General features: G+C 40.7%; 1 protein-coding gene and 1 long non-coding RNA gene across 22 annotated transcripts in view, besides 1 other annotated feature; one reads left to right on the top strand and one right to left on the bottom strand.

Moving 5' to 3' along the window:
• ERC2 (ELKS/RAB6-interacting/CAST family member 2) overlaps window positions 1–27,053 on the top strand; it is a 960,157-nt gene that overhangs the window by 9,268 nt on the left and 923,836 nt on the right. For 20 of the 21 annotated variants that reach the window (NR_132749.2, XM_017006156.2, XM_047447950.1 and 17 more), the window contains exon 2: window positions 24,053–24,849. Coding sequence is in view for 20 of the 21 variants with exons in the window: in XM_017006156.2 (XP_016861645.1) it covers window positions 24,193–24,849 (657 nt within the window). In the remaining variant the exon portion in view is untranslated. Of the gene's footprint in view, window positions 1–17,033; window positions 17,135–24,052; window positions 24,850–27,053 lie in introns of those variants that run through there. The other variant, XM_047447941.1, reaches the window with a different exon arrangement.
• LOC105377099 (uncharacterized) lies at window positions 17,823–23,230 on the bottom strand. Its single transcript, XR_940862.3, has 3 exons — window positions 23,149–23,230; window positions 22,908–23,043; window positions 17,823–18,081 (listed from the first exon to the last, which is right to left on the bottom strand). It is a non-coding gene; the product is annotated as an uncharacterized LOC105377099 (long non-coding RNA).
• Window positions 23,226–23,727: an enhancer, noted in NCBI's record as "NANOG hESC enhancer chr3:56469501-56470002 (GRCh37/hg19 assembly coordinates)". NCBI's record gives its function as "activates a minimal SCP1, AML or CMV promoter by ChIP-STARR-seq in primed H9 embryonic stem cells {active_cell/tissue: H9 hESC(primed)}" and the evidence as "EXISTENCE:reporter gene assay evidence [ECO:0000049][PMID:30033119]".

Raw genomic sequence — 27,053 nt, 5'->3', positions numbered from 1 at the left:
TTACCAGTTCTTATGTGGCATATTTCTCTATAATAAGATAGGTGTGGTCAGGAGTTCATCCTCTATGGGCCTGAGGTGATTGAAGGTGGGTTTGGGGTCTGGGAGCTGCTCTGGCAGTGAGAGTTGAGCAGCTCTGCCAGATGTGAGGTTAGGGCGGTCCCATGATCACTGGTTATTTTCTCAGTGATACTGGTGGGCATCAAATTTCTACCAAGATGTCTTTCTTGTGCCTGGCTTGAGGCAGATTAGCCATGCTCCGTTTTGTCAGCCAGCTCCAGCTGTCATCACCTCGAGGAGCAGTCGTGGTTCAAGGGGCGGGTTCCGAGAGGAGCAGGGTTGTTGACTCTTTTTTTACATTGACATCTCAGGAGAGGATTTTTGATGTCTTTTCTTTCCTTCTGGTGATGTATGTTTTTCCTTCCCTTCTAAGGCTGTAACATTCCCTCCTCCCCCTTCTTTGTTTCGCATTTTGACCCTTTATTCGTATTGTTCATGAAGCCTCTCCCTGACAGGAAGCAGGAGGTTGGGTAGTGAGTGGGATAACAGCGTGGCATTCGTATGGGCTTGTTGAAAATAGGTCCTGTTTGATGCTGGGTGGATACAAAAGCACCTGGGTCTTAGTGGCTGCTGTTCATCAGGCTTGTGAGCGTGGAGCAGTTAGTGTGGGCACGCAAGGGGAATTCTTCACCTTTTTTGTTAAAGCTGAGAAATAACTCTCTTTTTATACATGGGCTTTGAATGCATTCATGGGCCACCTTGAATTCACAACATGAATAGTTGCTTAGAATAACTTCAGAGCAGATTCTTTTGGATACAGAGACATAGCACTGACCTGGGGTCACAAGCCCTAAGTTCCCTTTCTGGCTTTGCCACTAGCTTTCTCCTTATTTGGGATCTCTGTTTCTCTATCATCTAGTCCAATTTGCTTCAAAGGCACTCTTCTAGATCTATTATATATATATTTTTACAACAGTTTCTTCATGCAAAGGTTCAACTAAGTAATTATCATTTTATTAGTTATTTTAACCTGGAAAACAGGAGTGGCTGGTGTTCTTTCATAATAGACATTAGTAACAAAGAATTAAGCCATTCTGTTATGTAGTCGTCGTAAAAGTGTATGCTTGCTTTGTGCCAGTCTTCTTCTGGGAATAGGGTGTGTACACGTCAAGAGGACCATAATAGAGCAGGTAATTTTGTAGGGGAGTTCAGGGATTGTAGTATCCAGTGGAGCACCAAACAAGTAAGCAGGCAATAATGGATGCTCTTTGGGGGAACATCCAGGCTATCATGGAAGACTTAGGAGAGTCATGGATGAAGAATGAAGGAAGGCTTCCTGAAGAAAGTAGCACCTAAAGTGTCACTGAAGGGTAAATGGAATTAGCCAGAGGAGGGAGGATTTGAAGGTACAAATAACAGGGGGAATAGCATGCACTAGGTCCAAAGGTAAGCGAGAGAATGGGAGATTCAGGGTTCACGGAGGTAAATGTAGGTAGAACTGTAGAGCTGGAGTTTAGCTTGGCTCAGGATGAGGGATGGTGAGAGGAGCCAGAGAGTGTGACAGGGCATAAGACCCTGTGAGCCATTGAGGAGATGGGACTCAAGCTTAAAACTTCAAGAGATTTCAAGTAGGGGACGGATACGATCAAGGACTCTGAATTCTCTTTATTCTCCTTTTATTTCACCGTCATGGCAATAATTACCTACTTTTGATGCTTGTGGGAGTGTGGGACTTGACATTGGGAAGAGAGGGTGGCAAGATGACCTGAAGAACAATAGAAAGATTGATTATTATGGCTTTGGGACTCCTAGCAATGTCCATTCTGATTCATTGACCAAACACAATTTATACAGCCTTAATAATTTTGAAAGACCATTTTCCAGGTGAGGAAAAATATCTGCTGGTGAAAGATCTGCAGTGGGACTCCACATCACTTGTTGGTTTTGAGACTCTCTCCCAATATCACCTAGGACAAAGTTCATTTCAATAAATTTTAAGCAGAGCACAGAGAGTACACATTGTGTTTCAAAATCTTTGTACTTAATGGGCAGAATGAAACTGACTTTGTTAGATTAATCGAGGGAAATACTTGAAGTAATTCATAGTGTACAGCTTCTGAAAGGGGTCTGAGAAAGTTCATGAATGGAAATAGTTTCATTATTCCTTGAAATGTACAAGATTGGGAGTTATGGGCTAGAACACTATTCAATATCCCGTGCATAGTGTCTGCCTCTTACTTTACTTCGATATGATTTACACTTTTGTACATTATACAGTAGCACTGTTAAATTGCCTTTCATACATTAATCTTCTGTGCTGTAGCTTATGAACCACCATTCTGAGCTACTGTACCATGACCTTACCTGCCGACAAGTAGTTTTAGTTCATCAGCATCACCATATTTGTACAACAGTTTGTGCAATCACCTGAATATTTCTTGAATTTTGTCATTAATTTATAAGTGGAAAATGGAAAACTGTAGGCAATAATACAGGGAGAACTATTTAGCTCATAATGTAATTGAGCCAAACATTGAAACCATTAGGCATGCCCAATATGGCTAGTGGTTAGCTTTAGTCAGATGCTTTGAACTTAAATTGGCCAACTATTTATAGTTGTGAGTGAAGTTAAAGGCTATGTATGTATGAAATGTTGGAAAAAAGCTTTAGGGATTATATTAAAGAGCAAGATGGAATTTGGGATTTTATCATTTATTTGTTTTGGGGAACAGAGCTTCCCTTTTTAACATGTAAGTCAAGGTAAGTTTTGTTTGTTCAGCTTTTTAAAAAGTACATATTCAGAAAGGTGTTTTCTACAAAAGCAAGAGACAGAAATTGGATTTCTCATCAGTCTTATTTATGAGTCCACCAGAGTATGTAACCTAATCCTTTGGTTTGCTAGTCAGAATAGGTGATTATTGTGATAAAATCTCTGTGTATTTTGGCAAACAAGTAACGAGAAATCAAAGCAAAATAAAATGGCATTTGGCAAAGGATTCACCTCACTGGGAATTTCATGATCCCATGGTTTCATTTGTTAAAATGATGCACTGTGGAACTAGAAAAAGACTAAATGAATTCTAGTCTTTGCCATAAACCTTAGGAGGGTACATTTGTAACCAAAGAGAGAAAGGGATACGCATAAAATTTACCAGATCAAAGTTGTTTACAATTGACCCCACAGCCCTCTAATTCCCTAGGTCAGGAGGGAGTGGTGGTTATCTGTCTGTCCTGGGGGGGTCTTCTTGCTATCTGGGGAGCTTATCTAACTTTTTTTGTGGGCTCAGCCCACCTCTAGGCAAAAGATTGAGCTGGATACAAAATTCCAGTTCTTTCTAATACCTCTTGTGGTTGGTTGAATGATGAGTGCTAAGTCATGAGAGATGTTATTTAAATAGAAGATGGGAAAGAATTGGCTCTTAGATTTTTTTAGTCTCTTCCTGAAACTGAGAGACGTAGTTTATCTTCTATAAAAAAGGTGGATAATTGTTAGACCAGAAATTCAAGAAGATCATATTAAGTATCTACTATGAGTCAGGCACTGTGCTAAGTACTTTGAAGAATTATCTCGTTTAATCTTCACAATAACTTCATGATCTAAGTATTATTTTTATTGATAAGGAAAGTAATGTTTAGAGAAATTAAGAAACTTGCCTTGGTGTCTTAGTTGACTTTCCCACAGAAGCAGACCCTGAGACAAATAGTTACTTGGGACTTACAGGGGGTCACTAGTGAGTGAATGAGGATATGAGACAGGGAAGTGAAGGCAGCCAATAGATGGTGCATTGTTAAGCGAGTTGTGCAATGGCAACTAGTGTTTAATCCCATAAGGAAATTGTAGAGATAGTGTAAAACACCTGCCTTAGGGTATTTTTACACAAAGGCTAGGAGAGTAGGGATGTCTCACCACTAGTTCATGTCAGTTGTTTTTTTTTCTTTTCTTTTTTTTAAATTTATTTTAATTATTTTTATTTTTTTACTGTGGTAAAATATACATAACATAAAATTTACCATTGTAACCATTTTAAAGTGCACAGTTTGGTGTACTAAGTATATTTGCAATGTTGTACAGCCATCACCACCATCAATCTCCAGAGCTTTCTCATCATCCCATACTGAAACTAGGTACTAATTAAACAATAACTCCACATTCCCCCAGCCCCTGGAAACCACCATTATACTTTCTGTCTCTATGAATTTGACTATTCTAGGTACCTCATATAAATGATATCAGACAATATTTGAGCTTTTGTGGCTGGTTTATTTCACTTAGCATAATGTTTTCAAAGTTCATGTTGTAGCACGTATCAGAATTTCATTTCCTTTTTTTTTTTTTTTTTTTCTGAGACAGAGTCTCACTCTGTTGCCCAAGTGGGAGTGCAGTGACAGAGTCTTGGCTCGCTGCAACCTCTCAACCTCTGCCTCCCGGGTTCACGTGATCCTCGTGCCTCAGCCTCCCAAGTAGCTAGGACTACAGGTGCATGCCAACATGCCCGGCTAATTTTTGTATTTTTTAGTAAAGATGGGGTTTTGCCATGTTGGCCATGCTGGTCTTGAACTCCTGGCCTCATATAATCCACCCACCTTGGCCTCCTCATTTCTTTTTTAAGGATGAATAATATTCCATTTTATGTGTATACTTCATTTTCTTTATGCATTCAACATCAGTGGACATTTCGGTTGTTTTCACCTTTTGGCTATCATGAATAATGCGGTTGTGAACACTGTTGTATAAATAGCTGTCAGATTTTTTTTTAAGGGTGGTTAACCCTGGGACTTCTACACCCTGCAAGGGAAGACTAGCTTATCCAGGTTTAAAAGATACTCTCAGGCAGAGATTCTGATATTGGCAGTGCCTTTGGGGCACTCTAAAATGTTCAGGTCAGAGGGACATCGATAGGCACTTAGAGCATCTGCTTGCAAGATCTTAACCTAAGTAAGTGGAGAAACTGGAATTTGGACTCTTCAGAGCCCATGCTTTAAACTGCTCTACATTGAGTTGCCTTTTAATTGCAAGTGTAAACTAGTGCTGAGATATGAAGATGAAGAAGACATAGTTCTTGCCTTTAAGGAAGGTACAGGGTTGAATCATCTGTTTTGCAAAAGGTTCAAGTGAAGACAGGGTCATCAGTTGGTGCAATCTGTAAGTCACACAGCCATTATAAGATGGAATCACGATAGCAGGAGGTGGGTGCATGTGTTGCCTTTCTTTTGGTGTGGAGGCATGCTTGGGTCAGTTACAGCTGGATTCTTCCTAGGGCTGTGCTCCAGGACAGGCACTCACATGTGTACTGATCATACGAGGTCCAGCCCACGCCCATTGATGCTCGCTGGCATTCACTATTTGGATTGTTTGTACAACTATGTCACCTCCTAGCAGGATTTATCCTCCTTTCGGCTTTTCCAGTGATTGCCTTCATCTCGATGTCCAAGCACCAGGAGCAGCTATTTGTCAGTAAAGAAATCAGTGGTCAGGAATGATAAAGAGAATACATTTGGAGGCAATTAAAATAGTTGGTTGTATGCATCTGTATCTGAAAATAAATTATTTACAAATGATTTGCATCTATCTGGAGACCTAACAGAAGATATTCTGTCATGGAATGGATGATATTTCCTAGTTTGGTAATCTGCAGAGGAAGAGAGAAATGAGAGATAAATCAGTGAGAAAGCACTGTCCTATATTTTAATCTAAATGTTACATATTTGGTTTTAGCACTGTGTTTGTGGTAGCTGGGTTTATTAGTCAGATATTGCTAGGTTGTGCTGGGCTAACAAAGGACCTCCAAATCTCAGTGGCTTCTTTCTCTCAGGGGTTGTCTGTGATTCTGCTCCATGTTATCTTTATTCTGGGACACAGGCTGAAGGAGCCTTTCTTGGACAGCCTATCTTCATGGTAGAGAAGAAAAAAGAATGTTTTACCCACAAGAGGGCTCTGATAGCTACTGTTTGGTTATGGCATTTGTTACTTCTGCTCACATTTCATTGGCCAAAACAAGTCATACGGCCAAGCCAGATGTCATTGGAGCAGGAAAGATTATCTTCCCACAGGAAGGAGACTGTAGGGATGGGCAGGCTAGGGGGATGGTGAATATGTTGAACACATGATGCAATTTAATGCATGGGCTAAAGTTTTACTTGCATGTGCAAAGTTTTTTTTTGGCAACCTTTTTAATCAACTACTTTTTTTAGACCCATTGCAAGATGTTTAACGCTGTTATTTCTATTTTACTCATGAGGAAGAAAGGGTCTAATGTAAGAAAACAACACAATGAGCCTGTGGTCAATATTGATGATGATGAGGATTGTACTGAGTATTTACTAAGCCTCAGGCACTGTGCTAAGTACTTCTGCCTTCTCTGATTTAATCATTATTCACCTTATTTTTGTGAAGTAGCCATTGTTACACTTGAGGCCATTGTTACTCAGATACTTACTGAGGCTCAGAGAGGTTTGCTAACTTGCTCAAGGTTAAACAGATAATAAATGTGAGATTCAGGTCTCAAATCCAGTGTATGCTTAATCACTTAACCAAGGTTTCTCAGACTTAGATGATATCTTTTTTAATGAAAATAATTTCTCGTAGAACCCCAGGGTTGGCTTAAATTATTATTATGTAATGATACTTTAAATTGTATAAACATAAAGCTGGTGAGTTTTATTTTAAAGCTCTTACACCTTTTTAAAACCTAAATCAATTTAGAAATAGAGTATATGTCATATGACATTACTAATTCAAATTCATAACATTAATTTAACTGCATTAACTAAATTGCTGCTTATAATTAGAATGTGATGCTGACTATTCTGGACAGGTTCTTTGGCATCATCTGGTCTACCCTGCTGTGCACTGGGTGATGATTCAATTTTCCCACCATATTCATCATAGTCAACTTCTGTGAAACTTTCATTCTTTCTGAGGAACTTGACAATCCTTACCTTTCACCCAGTGAGAACACATCCTTTAGATCCCCAAGACCATCTTATTTCCTTTCACATTGACTCAGTGATTCCTTAGGGTACAGCTTGATATTCAAAGTCAATGGGCATGGTGCTGTGCTGATCAAGAATATCCTTACATTATTTGTTTTCAGATTTCTGAAATAAAAACAAGCCTTAAATTCTCATGAGATTTGCAGATTCTTTAATATGCATAACTATGGATCTGACTTCCCTCCTTAGTTCTTGTCCAGGTTAAAAAACTGGATTTTCCCTGTCTGTTACTACACTCTTTTTTCCATAGGACTCTCTCCATCTGAGACCACACTCTATCACTCCCAGAAAGGCCCTCATCTGTTTCTGGTGTTCACAGCAACTGGCAGCCTTGCACAACAATTAGAGTTGTTAATGTGAACCTGAGTAAAGAGGCTGTGACCCCCTTTTAAATGGAAGGCTTTGGACCTCTATCATGTCAGAAACCACATTACAGATTTGTTCTCCAGAAGTATTTGTTGAATAGATCCGAATTATGTCCTGTAATTTCCCTTTTTATTTATTTTTATGTTAGATAAGCCTACCATTATCCATTCATAGACAAGAGATTTGACTCAATTACTTGATTTACTTACTGCACTTACTGACTCTCATTTACTCTAATTTCCATTGTTAAGGGGGTTTCTGTATACCATTCAGCACCCTGAACTTGATCCTTGTTAAAGCCTCCAATGTGACTCTTTCATGGTTATCAGTCATATTTTTGAGAGACCTCAGATTTAGGATGTAACGTTTATTCTTTCTCTTCTTTCCAGAATACATAGATGAATGCTTGTCTCCATAATTTGCCCATTGGAGCCATTCCTCATCCCTCATTGATTGTGGTCTTTTTTTTTTAATAGCTTACAATCTTTGCTAAAATTTTTCCTCACGTATGTGATTATGCCTATATTCTTTTCTAGTAAAAAGCTATTTACACGTAATCCTTATGCCATTATAAATGTAGCAAAATTTTGTGTGATTGGATTTTTAGGGCCAAGGGGGCAGAGTTTTTATTCTATCTCTCTATCATTTTCTCAGAAACGTCTGTTAGTTGACAGATAGAAGATTTTTTAGTGTAAGACCCAATAATTCCTGAATATTCTTTTTTTAAGTATACTATAACTGAAGCTTTGCCAATTGACATTTTACATTTGCAGATGAAAGGAAATGCATAGATGTTTAAAAAACGAATCTGAAAACCTTATTTATTCTTTCAGTGCAACTACTTAATTTGTTCTATTTATGAGACTTTATGGGGCGATGAATAATGTTGTTATAATCAGCATATTTTATTAAACGTCACTTATTTTAATTTTATTTAACATCTCAAATTATTTCTTAATTTTACTGTTTATTGTTTGGGATTTTGCCATTTTTAAAATTTATTTATTTTTTTAGAGATAAGGTCTCTCTGTGTCACCCAGGCTGGAGCGCAACGGCGTGATCATAGCTCCCTGCTGCCTTGAACTCCTGGACTCAAGCTACTCTCCTGCCTCAGCCTCCCAAGTAGCTAGGACTACAACTGCACACCACCACACCTGACTAATTTATTTTTGAATTTTTTGTAGAGATGGGGTGTCGTCATGTTGCCCAGGCTGGTCTCAAACTCCTGGCCTGAAGTGATCCTCCCACCTTGGTCTCCCAAAATGCTGAGATTATAGGCATGAGCTTACCACACCTGGCTGTTTTGCTATATTTTTAACTTGTGGATTTAGCTGTGTACTAGATAATAGTTTATTACTTTAACAAAATTTTTAGGGGTTTCAGATCCTTAATTTAACACTTTGAAATAAATTGATGGAGTCTGAAATTTAAATAATGGAAATGGTTAATGGAAAGAACAGTTAACTAATATTTGGGCATGCAGAGCCCTTGCCTTGTAGTATGGAAGACAGTCAGCCTCTTGACTCAAGTACCTTGCCATAAAACATGAGCCAAGGCAGCTGAACATGTAATCATGCTAAATCTACACATGGAAAACAGTAATTATAAAATGAGTTTGGGGGAACTAAAGGAGAGAGTACTGATGTGTGGATAGGCGTGTTTGAGTTTCATAGAGCTTTTTGGAGAATGATGGGAAAGCAATTTTGAAAATCTCTGCTGTATTAAGCTGGACTTTCCCCTTACTGATTCACATCATGGCATTCACAGATGAAATGGTTTATTACTGGGACTTTGAATAACTATGGATGCATAATATTGTAGCCTGCAGATCATGGGGGAAGGCAATGTCCATTTTTCTCTCTAGTTTTAGAGAACTGGGGTTGATGTCTTCAGCACTTTTGAACAGCAGATTGAGTTTGACTCCAAAGTGTCTGACAGGGCTAAGTTTAGTGAACTGGGAGAATTCTATGGCAACTTTGAGGCTGAAAGCCACTGTGTTATATTCTGGTAGCTTTGGGCTTGTCAAGGTTAACTTCTGTTGATCATTAGCTGTGTGCTAGGTATTGTGCTAAGTACTTTCTTATATCATCTCATTTAATCTTTCCCAAATCTATACGAAAAGTCTGATATCCCCATTTTACAGATGAGAAAAGTGAGGATGAGAGAAGTAAAATACTTTGTTCAAGATTGCGTATCCAGAAGACAGAAATATGACTCCAGCCAAATCTGATTTTGAGGCTCCTCTTTTCCTTTTTAAAACACTATGTCTCTCCTCTCTGGCTACAATTACAGAATTGTCCTATAACTGCCATGGAAGTGATTTTAGTGATATGATGAAAATGTCATGATATTAAAGTGCCAGCATCATCCTTTCAATTATTTCAAAGTTGTTTTGCATAGCTCCCGTGTTCCCTTACTCTTGGGCGAGAGGGCCTACTCTGGTTCTCCTCTGACTGCACCGTCCACTGGAGGAAGAGTCCAAGGGACCAATGCAGGTGCCCACCTGGAGCCTGTGCCTGGCATTCTAGAGTCCGCTCTGGGTACCTACAGGCCTGTGACCTCCTTGCCTAAATGACCCTGAGTTGTCTTCCAGAATCTGCCTGGAAATTTTTTCCTAGTACATCTTCTTGGGGGTAAGCCAGGCTACCACTGTGCACATCCTAGGCTTAGGGTTGTGGAGGGGCACATATGTGTGACGTTACAGATCAGGTGTCAGCAAACTACTACCTGTGGGCCAAATCCAACTACCACTTTTTTTTTTTTTTTTTTGAGATGGAGTCTCGCTCTGTTGCCCAGGCTGGAGTGCAGTGGCACAATCTCGGCTGACTGCAAGCTCTGCCTCCTGGGTTCACGCCATTCTCCTGCCTCAGCCTCCCGAGTAGCTGGGACTACAGGCGCCTGCCACCACGCCTGGCTAATGTTTTGTATTTTTTGTAGAGATGGGGTTTCACCGTGTTAATCAGGATGGTCTCGATCTCCTGACCTTGTGATCCACCTGCCTTGGCCTCCCAAAGTGCTGGAATTACAGGTGTGAGCCACCGCGCCCGGCCAACTACCACTTGTTTTTATAAATAAAATTTTACTGGAACACAGCCATGCCTATTTGGTTTCAAATTGTCTACGGCTGCTTTTGGGCTGAAATGGCAGAGTTGAGTAGTTATGACAGAGATCAAGTGGCCCACAAAACCTAAAATGTGTACTGTTTGGCCTTTTACAGAGAAAGCCTGTGGACCCCTGGTATAGCTGGAGCAAGCCTAGCTTGCATGCTGCAGAGTTCATGTGTATGAGGCCCGTGGGGTATGGTTGGGCCAGAGGTGGGGAGAAAGGGTGTTGGCGGAGGTGTGGGGGGCAGGCCTTCCTCCGGCCACAATGTTTTGGTGGAATTCTGAGGAGTCTAAGTATTCTAAGTTCAAAATTCAGATCTCACCTTCCCCATCTCTGTATTCAAGGTAGGAAGGTAGAATGTATTTTGTTTACCAGTTTGTTAGCTCAGTTTATAACTTTAAATGTATAGGCACATGGTATCTGGGCATCCATTTGTACTCTTGCCATGGGCTCTAAGAGTGTTAGCACCAATGTAAAAACCTGGGTTGCAGTGTAGGGGTTTATAATAGGAGGGAAGAGAGACCCCAACAAGGAATTGCACATATTAATATGAAATTCTAAGGTATGGAAGTGCTTTTGGGTCATATACGGATTACTGGACATGAGAGAGGCTTTGGGGATGCTGATAATGTTCTAAGTCTTGGTCTAGACAGTGGTAACACAGGTGTGCTCACTATATAAAAATTAACCGGTGCAGGCTGGGCATAGTGGCTCACACCTGTAATCCTAGCACTTTGGGAGGCCGAGGCGGGTGGATCACTTGAGGTCAGGAGTTCGAGACCAGCCTGAACAAAATGTCAAAGCCCCATCTGTACTAAAAATACAAAAATTCCCTGGGCTTGGTGGTGGGCACCTGTAATCGCAGCTACTCGAGAGGCTGAGGCAGGAGAATCGCTTGAACTCAGGAGGCAGAGGTTGCAGTGAGCCGAGATCACACCACTGCACTCCAGCCTGGGTGGCAGAGCGAGACTCTGTCTCAAAAAAAAAAATCAATTAACGTGTGCAATTAAGGTCTACCTTCATCATGTATATGTTCTGCTTTAATAAAGTTTATAAAAATAAATGAAAAGAGAATATATTAAAATTAAATATTAAATGTAAATAATATAATCTCTATATTTTATAAATATTGTAACAGATATACTAAGATTAGTATATTACAATATATTGCAAATAAACAACCCTTGCTCCCAGTTTCATTTGTCCAAATTAAATCCAAAATGCTGGAACCCATGTGCCAGTTTAGCTGGAAGTTCCGAATCTCTCCACTAGACCGCCTTCCCAACCTTCCCCACTTCTCGTCTCCCTCTCTTTCCTCTCCTCCCCGCTGCTTCGGGCTTACACAGCCCCAGAGCGAGCGGGATATGGATATAAATCCCACATCCAAATCTGGAAATCAATCTGTCCGACCAGCCCATCACATGATTACATCTTGATGCCACAAGGTGTCGCTGTTGAGGCTGTTCTCCCTCGGACTGAAAGATGCTGTGCGTGCCCTCTGTGGTCCCCACTCTGTGGTCCTGCAAGGGAAGGCCAACCCAGTCCCCCGTGGCCAAGCTCAGACACAGTGTGCCATGTGGGGGTGTAGCGGATGCTATTGGTGCCCCACCCGCATCTCCTCAGCACTCATGGCCTGTATGGGAACATGAGGGCTTTCTCTTTGGCTTCACTTGGGAGTGCCAGGGAGCATCCCTCAGCCCATGATGGAGTTTCTTGCCCTTCCGGAGGCGCACCTATGAGGCCGGTTCTCCACTGTTTCTCGAAGCTCTTTCCAGTTGCTTGCAGCAGAAACCTTCTTGAAAATGCACTCTCGGCCGGGTGTGGTGGCTCACGCCTGTAATCCCAGCACTTTGGGAGGCTGAGGCCGGAGGATCACTTGAGGTCAGGAGTTCGAGACCAGCCTGGCTAACATGGTGAAACTCTGTCCCTACCCCAAAATACAAAAATTAGCCGGGTGTGGTGATGCGCGCCTGTAATCCCAGCTACTCGGGAGGCTGAGGCAGGAGAATGGCGTGAACCTGGGAGTTGGAGGGTGCAGTGAGCCGAGATTGTGCCAGTGCCCTCCAGTCTGGGAGTCAGAGGGAGACCCCGTCTCAAAAAAAAAAAAAAGAAAGAAAAAAAAAAAAAGAAGAAAATGCGCCCTCTATTGACTTCCTTGACTTCCTTGTTTTAGTTCCAAATTGTCCTCTCAGTACTTTCTGGGAATACCTTATAAATGAACCTCCTACACCCACATCCTTGTCTCAGCATCTGCCGGTGGGGAACCCCAACTAGGACATATAGCCTTCCTCATGAGTTACAACCCTGTGCACAGTTTTGTGCCCCACTGTACAGGCTCCATACAGCATGCGAGGTCTCCAGAAGCTTCTAGCCTTACCCACACACTTTGTCAATAGGGGCTTCTCCATGGCTACTGGGTCACATGTCCTGAGTCCCAATCACCAGCCTGGACTTCTATCTTGAAGTAATTATTTAATTTCTGGGAACTCTAAGTCTGGTGGAGCTATGCTAATTCCTTCCCATAGATCTCACTTACTCTGAATCCTGGGCACCTAAGACTGGGGTGTCAGTGACTTCCCTCCGTGAATGTTCCCGGATCATTGTGCATAAAGACACCTACAAGATTTCACATTTTCCAAACCAGGGATCTGAGGAGGGACAGCCTCAGTTGGGTTATGAAGGGTTTCCTTACACCTTCACCAGAGGATTCAGGCTACCTAGTCTAACTCTACTTTAACCTAAACAAGAGGGCCATTGAGATGACCCTTGGCCAGTCAGCTTCTCTTATAAAAAGAAAAAAGATAGCATGTCTTTCACATCATGAAAAAAAAAAAGCATTACGCTTTGAGAGAATGTAACTGAGAGACCTGATTTGAATGGGATAGATCTTGTAGAGGGTATGCTATTGAAACTATCATGTAAGTGATGGAATAGGAAATAATAGGAATTAGCCCTGCAAAGAGAACAGCAGGAGTGAAGGCTCTGAGACAGGAAGGGACTTGATGCATTGGAGCAGCAGGAAGAAGACCCTGTCAGAGTCTTTGAAGGAGAGAGTGGCAAGAGGGGAGGCGGGGGCTGTTGGCTGTACTCAGATCCTGCAGGGCCTCAGGCCATGGGAAGCGTTTTGGTTTTGTCCACAGAGCAATAGGAAGCTTTAAAAGGGTTTTAAGTGGGTAAGGGGAGATATTTTATAATCGTAATTGTATCTTAAAACAGTTTAGCTGATATTTTGGAAATAAGAGTAGAGGACGATAAGAGGAGAAGCTTTAGGAGGTATGAAGTAGCTTATGCAAGAGTCACATTGGTTCAAGAGGAGTGGAAACAACGGAGAAGATTCAAGAGCAATTTTGGAGGTAGAATTAATAAGATTTGGTAAAGAACTTGAAGTGGGTGGTAAAAGAATGAATTGTAAAAGAATGAATTGTTTAAGACCTTATATGTGAGTAGAGTGGTAAAAAATGTAAATACCTATTGGGGGAAGCAGGCAGGAAAGGAATCAGACTGAATATAAGATAATGGGAGTGGAGGAGACTGTGGCAAACTGGAGGGTACATGTCCTCTCTTGAAGGGGCAGCTGCTGGTTGCTCCAACCAGTTATTGCCATGTAGAAAGGTGAGCCTGACATTGTCAGATTTTCAGATTTTTAAGGAAGCATCAGAATCTGGATTTTAATATGAACTGTCTATCTTTCTATGTTGGCAACTATTAATAGAAATTCTAAACAACACTGTGCTAGCTATACACAGCACATCTGCAGGTAACATCTGGCTCCTGGGTGGCCACTGCTTGTTTGAGATCTGTTTTCCATTGTGTCTTCCTTTAGAAAGGTTTTTAGAATTAGTAGTCTGTGACACAGAATTTTGGAAAAGTTAGGGATGCTGATTAGAAAAAAAAGGATATTTTAAGTTGGCAAAATCTTGGGAGATACTGATGATCTCAGCTCACACGGTCTGTCAGCAGGCCTCAGGTGATGGGCTGAGGCGGAGATCTGTGGAAATAAACTTAACCTAATTTAGAGCAGATAGCAGGAAGTGCTTTTGTCTTAAAATAGACTGTTCCAGACCATGATAGTCTGAGATACTTGAGTTAGACAGGAATCAAGGTTCTCCCCTGCTTTTTCCCTTCTGAGCTTATAGTTCAAGAGTCCTTAAGCCTTTTAAGAGAGTGAGTGGATGACTGTATATCTTATTTATGAATTCCTATGCAATTAGAGAAAGCATTCTTATAGGTTCATAAAGCCATCTTTTATTTTATTTTGTTTGAGCCATAAGCGGAACTTACCCTTGGACTTTGAATTTTATTCATGAGTTTCTTTTAAAGTGAAGGGTGTTGCGCAACTAATTTTTTTGGTGTTATAATTTTTTTTGATGTCAGCAACATTTATTTGTTTCTGTACACAGTTTGACCTAATTAATAATTTACCCTTCTTACAGTTGCACATCACAAACATATAAGATTGGCAGGTATTGGCGGGGCGTGGTGGCTCACGCCTGTAATCCCAGCACTTTGGGAAGCCAAGGCCAGCAGATCACGAGGTCAGGAGATCGAGACCATCCTGGCTAACACGGTGAAACCCCGTCTCTACTAAAACTAAAAAAAAAAAAAAAAAATTAGCCAGGTGTGGTGGTGGGCGCCTTGGTCCCAGCTACTGGGGAGGCTGAGTCAGGAGAATGGCGTGAACCCGGGAGGCGGAGCTTGCAGTGAGCCAAGATCAGGCCACTGCTCTCCAGCCTGGGCGACACAGTGAGACTCCATCTCAACCAAAAAAAAAAAAAAAAAATTGTAGGTATTTTTAAAGAGTTCACAAAAAAGTCCAATGACTGAACCTGTCTTGGCTTCATAATAAGTATTTAAAACTGTAAGATCTTAACTGCTACCTTTTTTCCTAAAACCCATTTATAGGTGGGTGGAAAAGCTTAAAAATAGTTTTAAGTCAGTAATGGGCAATGGAAGACATGATTGCATTATTGATTGCTCAATAAAGTTGATCTTTTTGCTCTTTCTCAGAGATTTATTTTATAGAATTAGAAACAAATCAGGATAGATGAGAAATTAGGAGACAACAACCAAAAAAAAAAAGCCCAAGTGTCAAAACAAGCTCCTTAAAATATATCGGGAAATGAAACACAGCTGGGTGGGGCATGGGGGAGGGTGCGAGTGACTCAACAGAACAAGTAGGAATTATGAGGCTTAGGGGAACATGACAGCCATGGGGACCTGCCTTTGCTTTATGTTGTCAACTGATTCTTTCCTTCTTCCATGACATTGGTATCACTCTATGTGCTGCAGCCGGGGGTGAAATGGTCCCAGGAAACCACCCCTGCTCTTTATAAATTTTGTGGGAGAAACTAATTCCCAAATAGTGGTGAGCCTACGTCGCTAACTAAAATTTATTGTTAAGAAGCAGATGTACAGTGGTGAAGACATTACCCTTTTACCATTTTGATGGTCTGTGAATTTCCTGTTTGATTTGATAAGTTCAGTGGAATTGAACATAATCTCTTGCCCATTGTGATCTTGGTGTTGTAAGCAACAACGTGTTTCCACAGCCTCTTACTGCAGCCTGTCAATGGCTGACTTGTATTCCTTTTAACAATCTGGCTTCTTTGTCGAGGTGTGAAAAATAAATACAGAATTATATTTATTTCCTGGCCTAGTAGGGCTGAAACTTCAACTAGTCATTATTTTGATCTTCTATCTTTTCCTGTTAGAGGTCAATTCTGATTGGGGTTGATTTCATGTACCTGCCCTTAAAGCAGTGCCTAGTCCTGTAATCACCTTCCTCTCAAATCCTGTTATATCTGAGGTGAAGAAAGCTCTTATGGAGAAAGTCCATTCCAGGGAGCAAACTTCCCATAGTCAGAACCTGCGTCTGTCTCAATCACTGCCTTATCCCCCTCATTCAACAGTGGGAGTTAAGCTGATGCTTAAAAAGTATTTATTGCATGAGTAAATTCAAGTGTTCAGTGAAATGTTTTCAGGTATTCTGAAGGGAAGAGGATTCGGTTGTCAAATCAATTTTGGAAAAGCTATATTGTATACTTAATTTTGGGACAGTCCCAATACATATGAGTGTCCTAAAAGTCTCTGAGACATCTTGGGTTAAAACGAAAACCCCAGTAGCCTTGTTTATCTGAACATTTGTCAGACTGTTCAGGAAGTACTGGTCTAAAGCCGAGCTGGAGTAGCACAATGTTGGTACTTAATAAATACTTCTTGGCTGGGCACGGTGGTTCACGCCTGTAATCCCAGCACTTTGGGAGGCTGAGGTGGGTGGATCACTTGAGCTTAGGAGTTGAAGATCAAGCCTGGGCAACATGACAAAACCCCGTTTCTTCAAAAATTACAAAAATTTGCCAGGCGAGGGGGTGTGCGCTTGTGGTCCAGCTGCTCAGGAGGCTGAGGCACGAGAATCACTTGAGCCTGGGAGACAGAGATTGCAGTGAGGCGAGTTCGCTCCACTGCACTCCAGCCTGGGTGACAATAGTGATACTCTGCCTTAAAAATAAATAAAAAAATACTTCTTTAGGTGTATTTACTGAATGTATAGTGCTGAAATCCTGAGTTTCGTAATTCGGGATTTTTTTTGTAGCCTCAAGAGGAGATGGTGGCTTTTGGGATATGTTGAGAGTAGAGTAGAAGCTGTGAAGGAAAGAGAGTCAAGAGTAAGGATGTGAGTATAAATTGTTTCATTTTGATTTTTTAAAAATTAACTAATTAATTAATTTTATAGAGATGAGTTCTCACTTTGTTGCCCAGGCTGGACTTGAACTCCTGGGCTGAAGCTTTCCTTCTGCCTTAGCCTCGCAAGCAGTGGGACTACAGGCACACGCCACTGTATCCAGCTGTTTCATTTTTATTTTATAATTCTTTTAAAATTTATCCCAGGGAAGGCTGGGGATGGTGGCTCACGCCGGTAATCCCAGAACTTTGGGAGGCCGAGGCGTGTGGATCACTTGAGGTTAGGAGTTTGAGACCAGCCTAGCCAACATGGTGAAATTCTGTCTCCACTAAATATACCAAAATTAGCCACTTGAACCCGGGAGGCGGAGGTTGCAGTGAGCCGAGATTATGCCACTGCACTCCAGTCTGGGAGACAGAGCAACAGTCTGTCTCAACAACAACAAAAAGAATTTATCCTAGGGAAGTAAGAGCTTTATCAATCTGAATATTGCTCAAACGGAACATTGAAAAGCTTTATCAATCAAAATATTATAAAGCTTTATCAATCACAATATTAATTATGATATTTCCATTTTAAAAATAATTACCTAAGTGTTTCAGTTCTTTTGCTGTGTAACAAAAATCTGTAAAACTTGGAGTGGGGCTTTAAATAATAATTTCTTACTTCCCACCTGATTCAGTGGGTTGATTGGTGGTCTTGTTACATATAGTGATGGCTGTTATTCATGCAGCTGATTAAAGACGGTGGCTGGGCTGGGCTGGAAGCTCCAACATGGCTTGTCTCACTGGATTGGTGTTTTGGTGCTGACTCTTGGCTGGGTGCTTTGGTTCTCCTTCACGTGGCCTCTCTCTGTATGTGGTATTTCATCTTCCAGGGCCGTTCTGTGTGGCTCCTAATTTTAGCAAGATAGCTTGGACTTCTTTGCATCATGGCAGCTGAGTTTTAAGAGAGCAAAACCAGAAACTGTCAAGCCTCTTTAGGGTTAGACTCAGAGCTGGAACAGTGTCTCCTCTACTGCATTTGTTGGTCTAAGCAGGTCACAAGGCCAGTCCAGATTCAAGGACAAAGGAAATAGAATCAATTTCTTGATGGAACTAATGGAACTACAGACAATTCTGTATAGGAAGGAGAGGACTTTTGATGGCCATCTTTGGAGGCTCATAGTATCTGTCAAAAATCTTGTGTTATAAAAATACTTTGTGGCATCTATGTTAAGTGGGAAATGGAGATGATGTTAAGATAAAACATGGAGAAAAAGGAAAATACAAGACTTATATATAGTCTTTATATAGTTTGATTTACATAGTCTTTATATTGTCTGGCTTTGTCTAAAACTGCACACACACACATACACACTTAAAAGGAATTGGAAGTAACATAATACATACTGGCTAGTTTTGAACTGCTGTCCTCAAGCAATCCTCCTGCCTCAGCCTCCTGAGTAGCTGGGATTACAGCAGGAGTCAACATGCCCTGCCAAGCCCATTCTTTTTTTTTTTTTTTTTTGAGACAGAGTCTTGCACTGTTGCCCAGGCTGGAGTTCAGTGGCGTGATCTTGGCTCACTGCAAGCTCCGCCTCCTGGGTCCATGCCATTCTCCTGCCTCAGCCTCCCGAGTAGCTGGGACTACATGCGCCCACCACCACGCCTGGCTAATTTTTTGTACTTTACTATTAGTAGAGATGGGGTTTCACCGTGTTAGCCAGGATGGTCTCGATCTCCTGACCTCGTGATCCACCCGCCTCGGCCTCCCAAAGTGCTGGGATTACAGGCGTGAGCCACCTCGCCCGGCCGCATTCAGTTTTATGTGTGTGTTCTACGAAACATTTCAGGAATAGGGAAGACTGGTATTATGCTAGCTTGTTAATAGAGGTTATCTATGAGTGACAGGATTGAGAGTGTTTTCATTTTCTGCTTTATGCATATTTGTATTTTCTAAATTTTCTATAATAATCTATTAGTTGGTTTAATAATTAAGAAAAACTAATAAGCCAATTAGAAAGTCTTGACAAATTTCAAAGATTGGAAAATATATATGTTACATTTTATGATCCCAATGCTATACAATTTGAACTAGAAAGTTTACCATAAAATTTCTATCCACTTTGACATTTAAATATATTATTCTCAATAATTCCTGGGATAGAAAAATTTCAAAATAAAAACAGCAAGGTATTTACAAATGCCAATAAGAGTTTTATACATAGAATTCTGGAATATGCAGCCATGTGTATAATCTTATATGCATTCATTAGGAAATGTGATTAAAGAGAAATGAACATTCAATGCAAAAGGGCAAAAAAAAACCATAAAGGAAGTAGAAATTTTATTAAAGATAAAGAGATATCAATGAAATGGAAAATAAGATGCAGTAAAATATATTAATAAAACCAAAAGCTATATCATTTAAAAAATTTTAAAGAAAAGTTATACAAAGCAATGCCAATAAGACTGGAAAATCTACACGGAATAGACTGTTTGTGAAGGGACGTTTTAATGATAATTGACACAAAATAGGTAGCAAACCCAAATAGACAAGTAAACATAGTGAAAAAGTGAAAAGATAATAAACAACTAGGCCCATTCTGTGTTTTTTGCTTTTTTAAAGAGACTGGGTCTCTCCCTCTGTCACCCAGGCTGGAGTGCAGTGGTGCAGTTATAGCTCACTGTAGCCTCGAACTCCTGGGCTCAAGTGATCCTCCTGCTTCACTCTCCCCAAGTAGCTGGGACTGCAGGCACATGACACCACACTGGGCTAATTTAAAAATTTTTTTTAGAGACAGAGTCTTGCTATATTGCCCAGACTGGTCTTGAACTTCTGTCCTCAAGCAATCCTCCTGCCTCAGCCTCCTCAGTAGCTAGCATTACAGCAGGAGTCAACATTCCCTGCCAAGCCCATTCAGTTTTATGTGTGTGTTCTACAAAATATTTCAGGAATAGGGAAGACTGGTATTATGCTAACTGTTCCAGAACATATGAAAAATGGAAAGCTTCTCAATCTATCTATGATACTAGCATACATCTGTTATTAAACCTAGAAAAGGAGAACCCAAGAAATCTATGGGCCAGTGGCAACATATATTACTTTTTAAATAAGGAAACAATATTTCAAACATGATAATACATCTTTTCATGTTGTATGTTATATGTGTGTGTGTTTCCAAAGGGAACAAACTAACTTTGTTTGTTGGTTATTGGGATTCTCCAAAGCCTTGGCCAGGTAGGCAGGTAAATTCACTGAGGATTAAATCTGTGTGCGTGTAAATTTTATGACATTCCGGGACCTCAAGCCTAGCCACAGACCTCAGAAATGTGTATCTCTAGATACAAAGGGAGCAGACAGAGGAAGACAAGTTAGATTTCATCACTTTTTCTAGGAAGACATCTCTATAAGTGGTGGCCCAGTTAGAACCCAGACATCTAGATTGTAAGCACAGAAAAGATACATTCATTTAACTGTTGGAACCATAGAAAGAAAATCATTTTTTTAATGAAAAAAGTATATATCATTATTATGTTACCAAAACACCAGAGGTTCAGTCCAGGTCCTGCTGCTTGCTGCACAGAAGGCCAATCACTGAGACAAGTATTGCCAGAGAAGAAGGTTTTAATCAGGTGCTGCAGCTGAGGAGATGGGAGATCAGTTTCAAATCCATCTCCTTGACCAACTAACGTAAGGGTTTATATAGCAGGGAAGAAATGTAATCATGAGTGGAAAAACAGGAATTAGGGAGGGATAAGGAAGAGGAGTTGGTTAAAAGGAAGCAGATAGGGCAAGGCAATTATGACAGATGAAGGGTCTGACATCTCATTGCCCAAATGCAGTAATCTGGCGAGTTTGAGCTCCTTGACACTATCTGGGAGGCCTGATGGTTGGTTTCCTTAGAAAGGAACTCAGATAAGACAAATGCAACTTTCTCAAGTTTTAAAACTGGGAGGTCAATTTCTATGTTTTTTCAAAGAAACCACTGACATCAGCTCTATGGGACAATTGAGTCAGTTTCAATTGTAGAAAATTTAGAGTATGCAAATAAAAAGAAGAAAATGAAAACCTCTTGGAATTCCACCACTGGTAACACTTTGATGTGTGTCATTCCAGCCTTCTTTGCTGGTGAAAGGGTGTATGTGTATTTGTGTGTTTTACAACAGTGTGAGTAAATCACAAAATTGTTTTGTCGTCTGCTCCCCCTGCCACCAGTATGTCATGAACATCTTTCTGTCTTATTAAATATTCATGTAACTGCCTGTTCCACTATTCCATTATCTGTCTCTCTTATCATTTATGTCACCGAATTCTTATGTTAGAACTATTGATCCCCTCTTTTTTACACTACAGATTATTCATGTAAAAATCTTAGATACAAAATGGTTTTTGTGTATTTCCAAGAAAAACAAAATTAAGCCCTGAGCAACATAAACATTTGAAATGAAGTTCTTTAGTTAGAAACAGGTGTATAATTTTTTAAGACCTCTTGAGGGAAAGGGGAAACCTTTATAGAAAACATTTTTTCATACTGTATGTGTCACTATCTGTGACAGAAATCTCATCTAGAATTGAATGTAGCAAAAAGGAAATTTATAGACAAATGCATCAGTTACCCATTGATCCTGTAATGTGGCAAAACAGTCCACCACAAAACATCAGTGACATACTAAGAAGCATTTATCAAGTGCATAAGTGTGGTGTTTAGCTGATCTCAGCTGGGCTCGCTCATGCCCCGCTGGGCAGTGGCTGGTTGGCTAGGCAGTTCTGCTGACTTTGGCTGGGCTTGCTCACACATCTTGGGGCGGCTTGCCTGTTGGCTAGGACAACTTGGTTCTATTTTATATTTCTCATCTTGCATCAGGCTAGATTGGGAATATTCTAATTACTATGGTAGAGGAAAATGAGCAAGAGAGTAAACACATGTGTTGCTTAAGGCGTCTGCTTACTTCACATTTGTTATCACCTTACTGGACAAATAAAGTCACATGACTGAACCTAGCATCACATTGGGAAAACACTGCCAAGACATATATAAAAAAAGGAGTAAAGGATTGAGACCTTTAATGCAATCAGTCACCTGGCATATGTAACTAAAATGGCCAGGGAACAGATGTATAGATGATAGATGATGGTAACTTCTATGATTCCTGGATCTGGAGTATGAAGTGATGTCACCTGGTTTGGTTTCACACTCTTTGAAGTTTAGCTGTGGTTCCCTTTGTATTGTCTCCACCCTCAGGGAGGCCCTTTCCACATTGAAGTACTCACAGCTCTATCTTGAAAGTAAGGAATTCCAGCTGAAGAAGAGCTTATCTTTCCCAGCTGTTCCAACTAGAGTCCTAGTATGGAGTCTTGTTGGACCAATGTGGGTCACATGCCCATCACTAAACTAGCTACCATGTCTGGAGGATACAATATGGTGGTTGGCCAGGCGTGGGTCATGTTCTCACCCCTTGCACCATCCAGGATGGTGGAGTGAAGGGAGTCAACCTTATCTAAACCCAGTGAACTGTGAGTAGGGGGTTGGGAACAATTTCTCTAAGGAAAATAGTGACAGTATAATCAGAAAGTGTGTATTTGGGAGAGGGGGAAGGGATGAATGATAGGCAGGTGAAAATAAAAGATACCCATGTATACTGCTATTAATGTACTTATCTCATTGAGACACTTACCTTCAAAATCTATTTATTGACTATTTGGTACTAGGCACAAAACTAGGTGTTTTATAAACCTCATCTTACTATTTCTTACAATACTATGAGTTAGATGGTACTACCTGCATTTTGTTGATTGCAGAGTGGAAGCTCATAACAAGTTAAATAATTTGTCTAAGGTTACTCAGCTGGTTAGTATTAGCATGGACATTTGAACCTGTTTGCCTTTCTCAAATCTGTTCTTTTATTGTTGTAAAGCTGAAGGAAAAGAAAATACAGTAAAGACTTTCTAAGAGGAAGAACAGGAGGCCATAATGTGCCCCATTAAGGCCATATGGGTGCTAAAATTGAAGGGATACTCACAATGCTGTAGCCCCAGCTACATAAAATCTTCACTAGTATACTTCAGTAACCGTGATGGGAACTTCTTCTCCTTTGCCATTTCTGTACAGACATGAAGTGGTTAATATGAATATTAAGGTCAACCAAAATGGGAAATAATTCTCAAGAGGCCAGCCTGAAAGATGTGTGTGAAAGGGAAAAGAGACAGGACTGTTGTTTTCTCTGGTAATATCATTGAGGATCTGGCTATGTGTTTAGGCATCCCATTGGTTGAGCTACCTCTTTTTCTTCTATCTCCAGGATAGCCAGTAGGTTTGAATTCATGTGTTAATACCAGTTGATTGGTGGTAAGCCATCTAGAGTGTTGTGTTGAGAAGAATTCTGAACCTAGTGGAAAAGAAGACTGTGATGGATTAGTGATGTCTGTAATGAGTACAGGAGGGGAAGGTAACAACATGAATGCCAAATATTTGACATCCCAGGAATCAGCAGCTTCTCAGAGTCACTTTCAAGTCACATGCATATAGGGGTTATGCCCCAAAGGAGGGGCCTTTTTATAGCTAAGGTCTCCATGATGGGCAATTCCATGGGGAATTTTCTAGAGGTTCTAACTCTAACCTTAGCACAAACCAATATAGAGAGCTTCATTTTCTTAAAGAATAGAGCTTATTTTTCACTTTGAGAATTTTTATCTTGCTTAGGGGCAGGGTGGGGGGAATTTGTAAAACTTTCACCTGTAGTAGTAAAGTTCTAGAGTTGCTTTTCTTTATAAATCAACATTATGGGTGTGGCTCTTTCTATCTGTCTATTATTAATCACCTATCTACATAGGTACATCTATCATTATCTTTATATATTTAAAAATACAATGCAGTTAGAGTTCTAAAGAAATTTGTTTTTAATTATTCTTTTTTTCACTTTGTAGATCTCTGAGTGGAGTTATTTTCTGGTACGGACTGTGAAAAGAATGCGGTGAAAATTCTGGACAATCGTGGAAATATTAGCTCAAACCCCAACTTAATATAGCATTTCTTCTCTTCAGTAACACCTCATAATACAAGAAAAATGTATGGAAGTGCAAGAACAATCACCAATCTGGAAGGTAGCCCTTCCAGATCCCCTCGTTTGCCAAGGTCTCCTCGTTTGGGCCACCGAAGAACAAGTAGTGGGGGAGGTGGAGGAACAGGCAAGACTCTGTCTATGGAGAATATCCAGTCCCTCAATGCAGCCTATGCTACGTCTGGACCCATGTATCTGAGTGATCATGAAGGGGTGGCTTCAACAACCTACCCAAAGGGCACTATGACTCTGGGAAGGGCTACAAATCGAGCTGTATATGGAGGCCGTGTCACAGCCATGGGGAGTAGTCCCAATATTGCTTCTGCTGGACTTTCCCACACAGATGTCCTTTCATACACAGATCAACATGGTGGGCTGACTGGCTCATCCCATCATCACCACCACCAGGTCCCCTCCATGTTGAGGCAGGTAAGAGACAGCACAATGTTAGATCTTCAGGCCCAGCTGAAAGAACTGCAGAGAGAGAATGACCTCCTCCGGAAAGAGCTAGACATCAAGGACAGCAAATTGGGATCTTCCATGAACAGTATTAAGACTTTCTGGAGTCCTGAGCTTAAGAAGGAGAGAGTCTTGAGGAAAGAAGAGGCAGCGCGGATGTCTGTCCTCAAGGAGCAGATGAGGGTTTCCCATGAAGAAAATCAGGTAGGTCATGACTCATCTCAGTATTTTTCAGCCTTGGCTTCTCACTGAGTAGTTGATGCTTTGCAGATGGTACCACGACCTGTGCAGAAGAAAGTTTGGCATCATCAAGAAGGTTATGGCTTAGTATGTGTTTGACTTAGACACTATGAGAGAGCATAGGAAATATACCATTACAGCTTGTAATTTCCTTATTTTCCGATAACCTTTTCACATGGTTGCAGATGGGGAGAGGGGTGGGGTGGGGAGGATCACTTGTCATTGCCTAACTTTTGTACTTGGTTAATTTTGTTTTCTTTTTCAGCAGTTGCAACAGCTGTTCAGATGTACCTCCTTCTGAATAGAAGAAGAAAATGTTAATTTCTGTAAGAATAAAGACTTTAAGAGCAACATTTAGTGGGCCACATTTGACTGGTGAATTGATTTTTATTTTGAAGCACCAGCACCATTATTTCCCACTAGAATGAGTGAAGTTGTTCTCTAAGTAGCAGATTGAACAATATGAAATGGAATTGGATCAAATGGGTTTGTTATGTTAGAGATACACAATAAATTTTTAACTTGGTGTTTTTGCCTTCATCCATTCAGCATTAATTAACTATCTACTATATGTAAGTCACCTTCATACTCTTCTTTGATCCATCCTTCATGCCACAGGAAAAACAGGTTCCTGGTGTCTACCTGCAGTTATGCTATTTTCCTGCTTTAAAGCCCTCAGTGATTACTCATTGCCTCCAGAATAAAGTCTACCTTCTTGACTGAGCCCATAGCACTTCTACTAGAAGGCCTGGGCCAACATTTCCAGCCTTATCTTGTGCTGCCTCCCTCCACATCTGTGCTTTCTGTACCACTGCCTGGTAATTCCTGCACACACCCAAGGTTTTGCACTGCCATGCCCTTGCTCTTGCTGCTCCCTTCCACTGGTGGCCTTCTCAGCACCTGCTTTTCCTGCCACCTCCCTTTAAATCTCAGCCAGTCTTCATTTCCAAATCCCACCTATTCTGTGAGGCCTGTTTTATATGCTGCTATTTTCTTTTCTTTTCTTTTTTAATGCCTACTTTATTTCCTAAAATGCTGCTATTTTTATAAGCGCTTTGGAATCAGACATACCTGGGTTTAAATTCCAGCTTCATCTCTTGCTCTCTCTCTCTCTCTCTCTCTTTTTTTTTTTTTTTAAGAGACAGGGTCTTGCTGTTGCTCAGGCTGGAGTGTAGTGACGTTGATCATAGCTCACTGCAGCCTTGACTTCCCGGCTCAAATGATCCTCCACACCTCAGCTTTCTGAGTAGCTGGGACTACGGGCACATATCACCACAGCCTGCCGATTAAAATTATTTTTTTTTGTAGAGACAAGGTCTTGCTATTTTGCCAAGGCCGGTCTTGAACTCCTGGCTTCAAGGAGTAATTCCAAAGTTCTAGGATTGCACACCTGGCCCCAGCTTCATCTCTAATTGGTGCTTATAGAAGTGCTAAGAGCTGGGGCATAGGGAATGTGATACCACGTGGCTCAAAAATTCCCAGATATTATTTAACTTTCTGAAGGAAATTGAGATAACTCTAAGTTGACTGAACAAGTGATTTTCCAATAACTGGCTTTGATGTTGGTCTAACGAAGTGCTCTGCCTTTCTTGGAGTCACCTGCTGACCCTCCTAACTGTTTCCCTGGCTACCACTCCTTTGGAGTTTAAGCGCCTGTAGAAGCATTTGTGATCTATAGGAAAATCTGCCTTTTGTTTTCATTCTATGTGTAGAAAACAATCACCTTATCCTTTTGATTATCTAACAGAGCCAAAGCTAGTTTTCAGACGTAGAAATGTGATTTTGTAGTTGGAACCGAAAGGTTTGTTCTTCACTCTAAAATGATGCTCTTCGGTATCATTTCTGCTTCTTTCTGATTTTGCTGGTTCATGAAGTCTTTATGAACCTGTTTGTACAATGCACATTTCCCCCCAGTTTTATACTGGTTTTCTCTTCATTTTAATTTTTTGGAAAATGGTTAAAGCAGTTTAGGAATGGTGCAAGCAGGGACAAAAAGTTTGAAAGCTCTTCTTTAAACTGTTAGCTCCAAAGTGACTTATCTCATGCTTCTTTCATTAAGTTTATCTTTGAGCACAGACCCCAATTATACATGTATATTTATTTATAAATTACAGGATGCATTACACTGCCAGTGTATTATGTGTCTTTTATGACATCCACGAAGAATT

This window comes from Homo sapiens, chromosome 3 (genome assembly GCF_000001405.40).
Source record: "Homo sapiens chromosome 3, GRCh38.p14 Primary Assembly".
NCBI classification, from domain to species: domain Eukaryota; kingdom Metazoa; phylum Chordata; class Mammalia; order Primates; family Hominidae; genus Homo; species Homo sapiens.
Note: the sequence above shows the minus strand (reverse complement) of the source record. Positions and strands in the feature narration are given on the sequence as shown.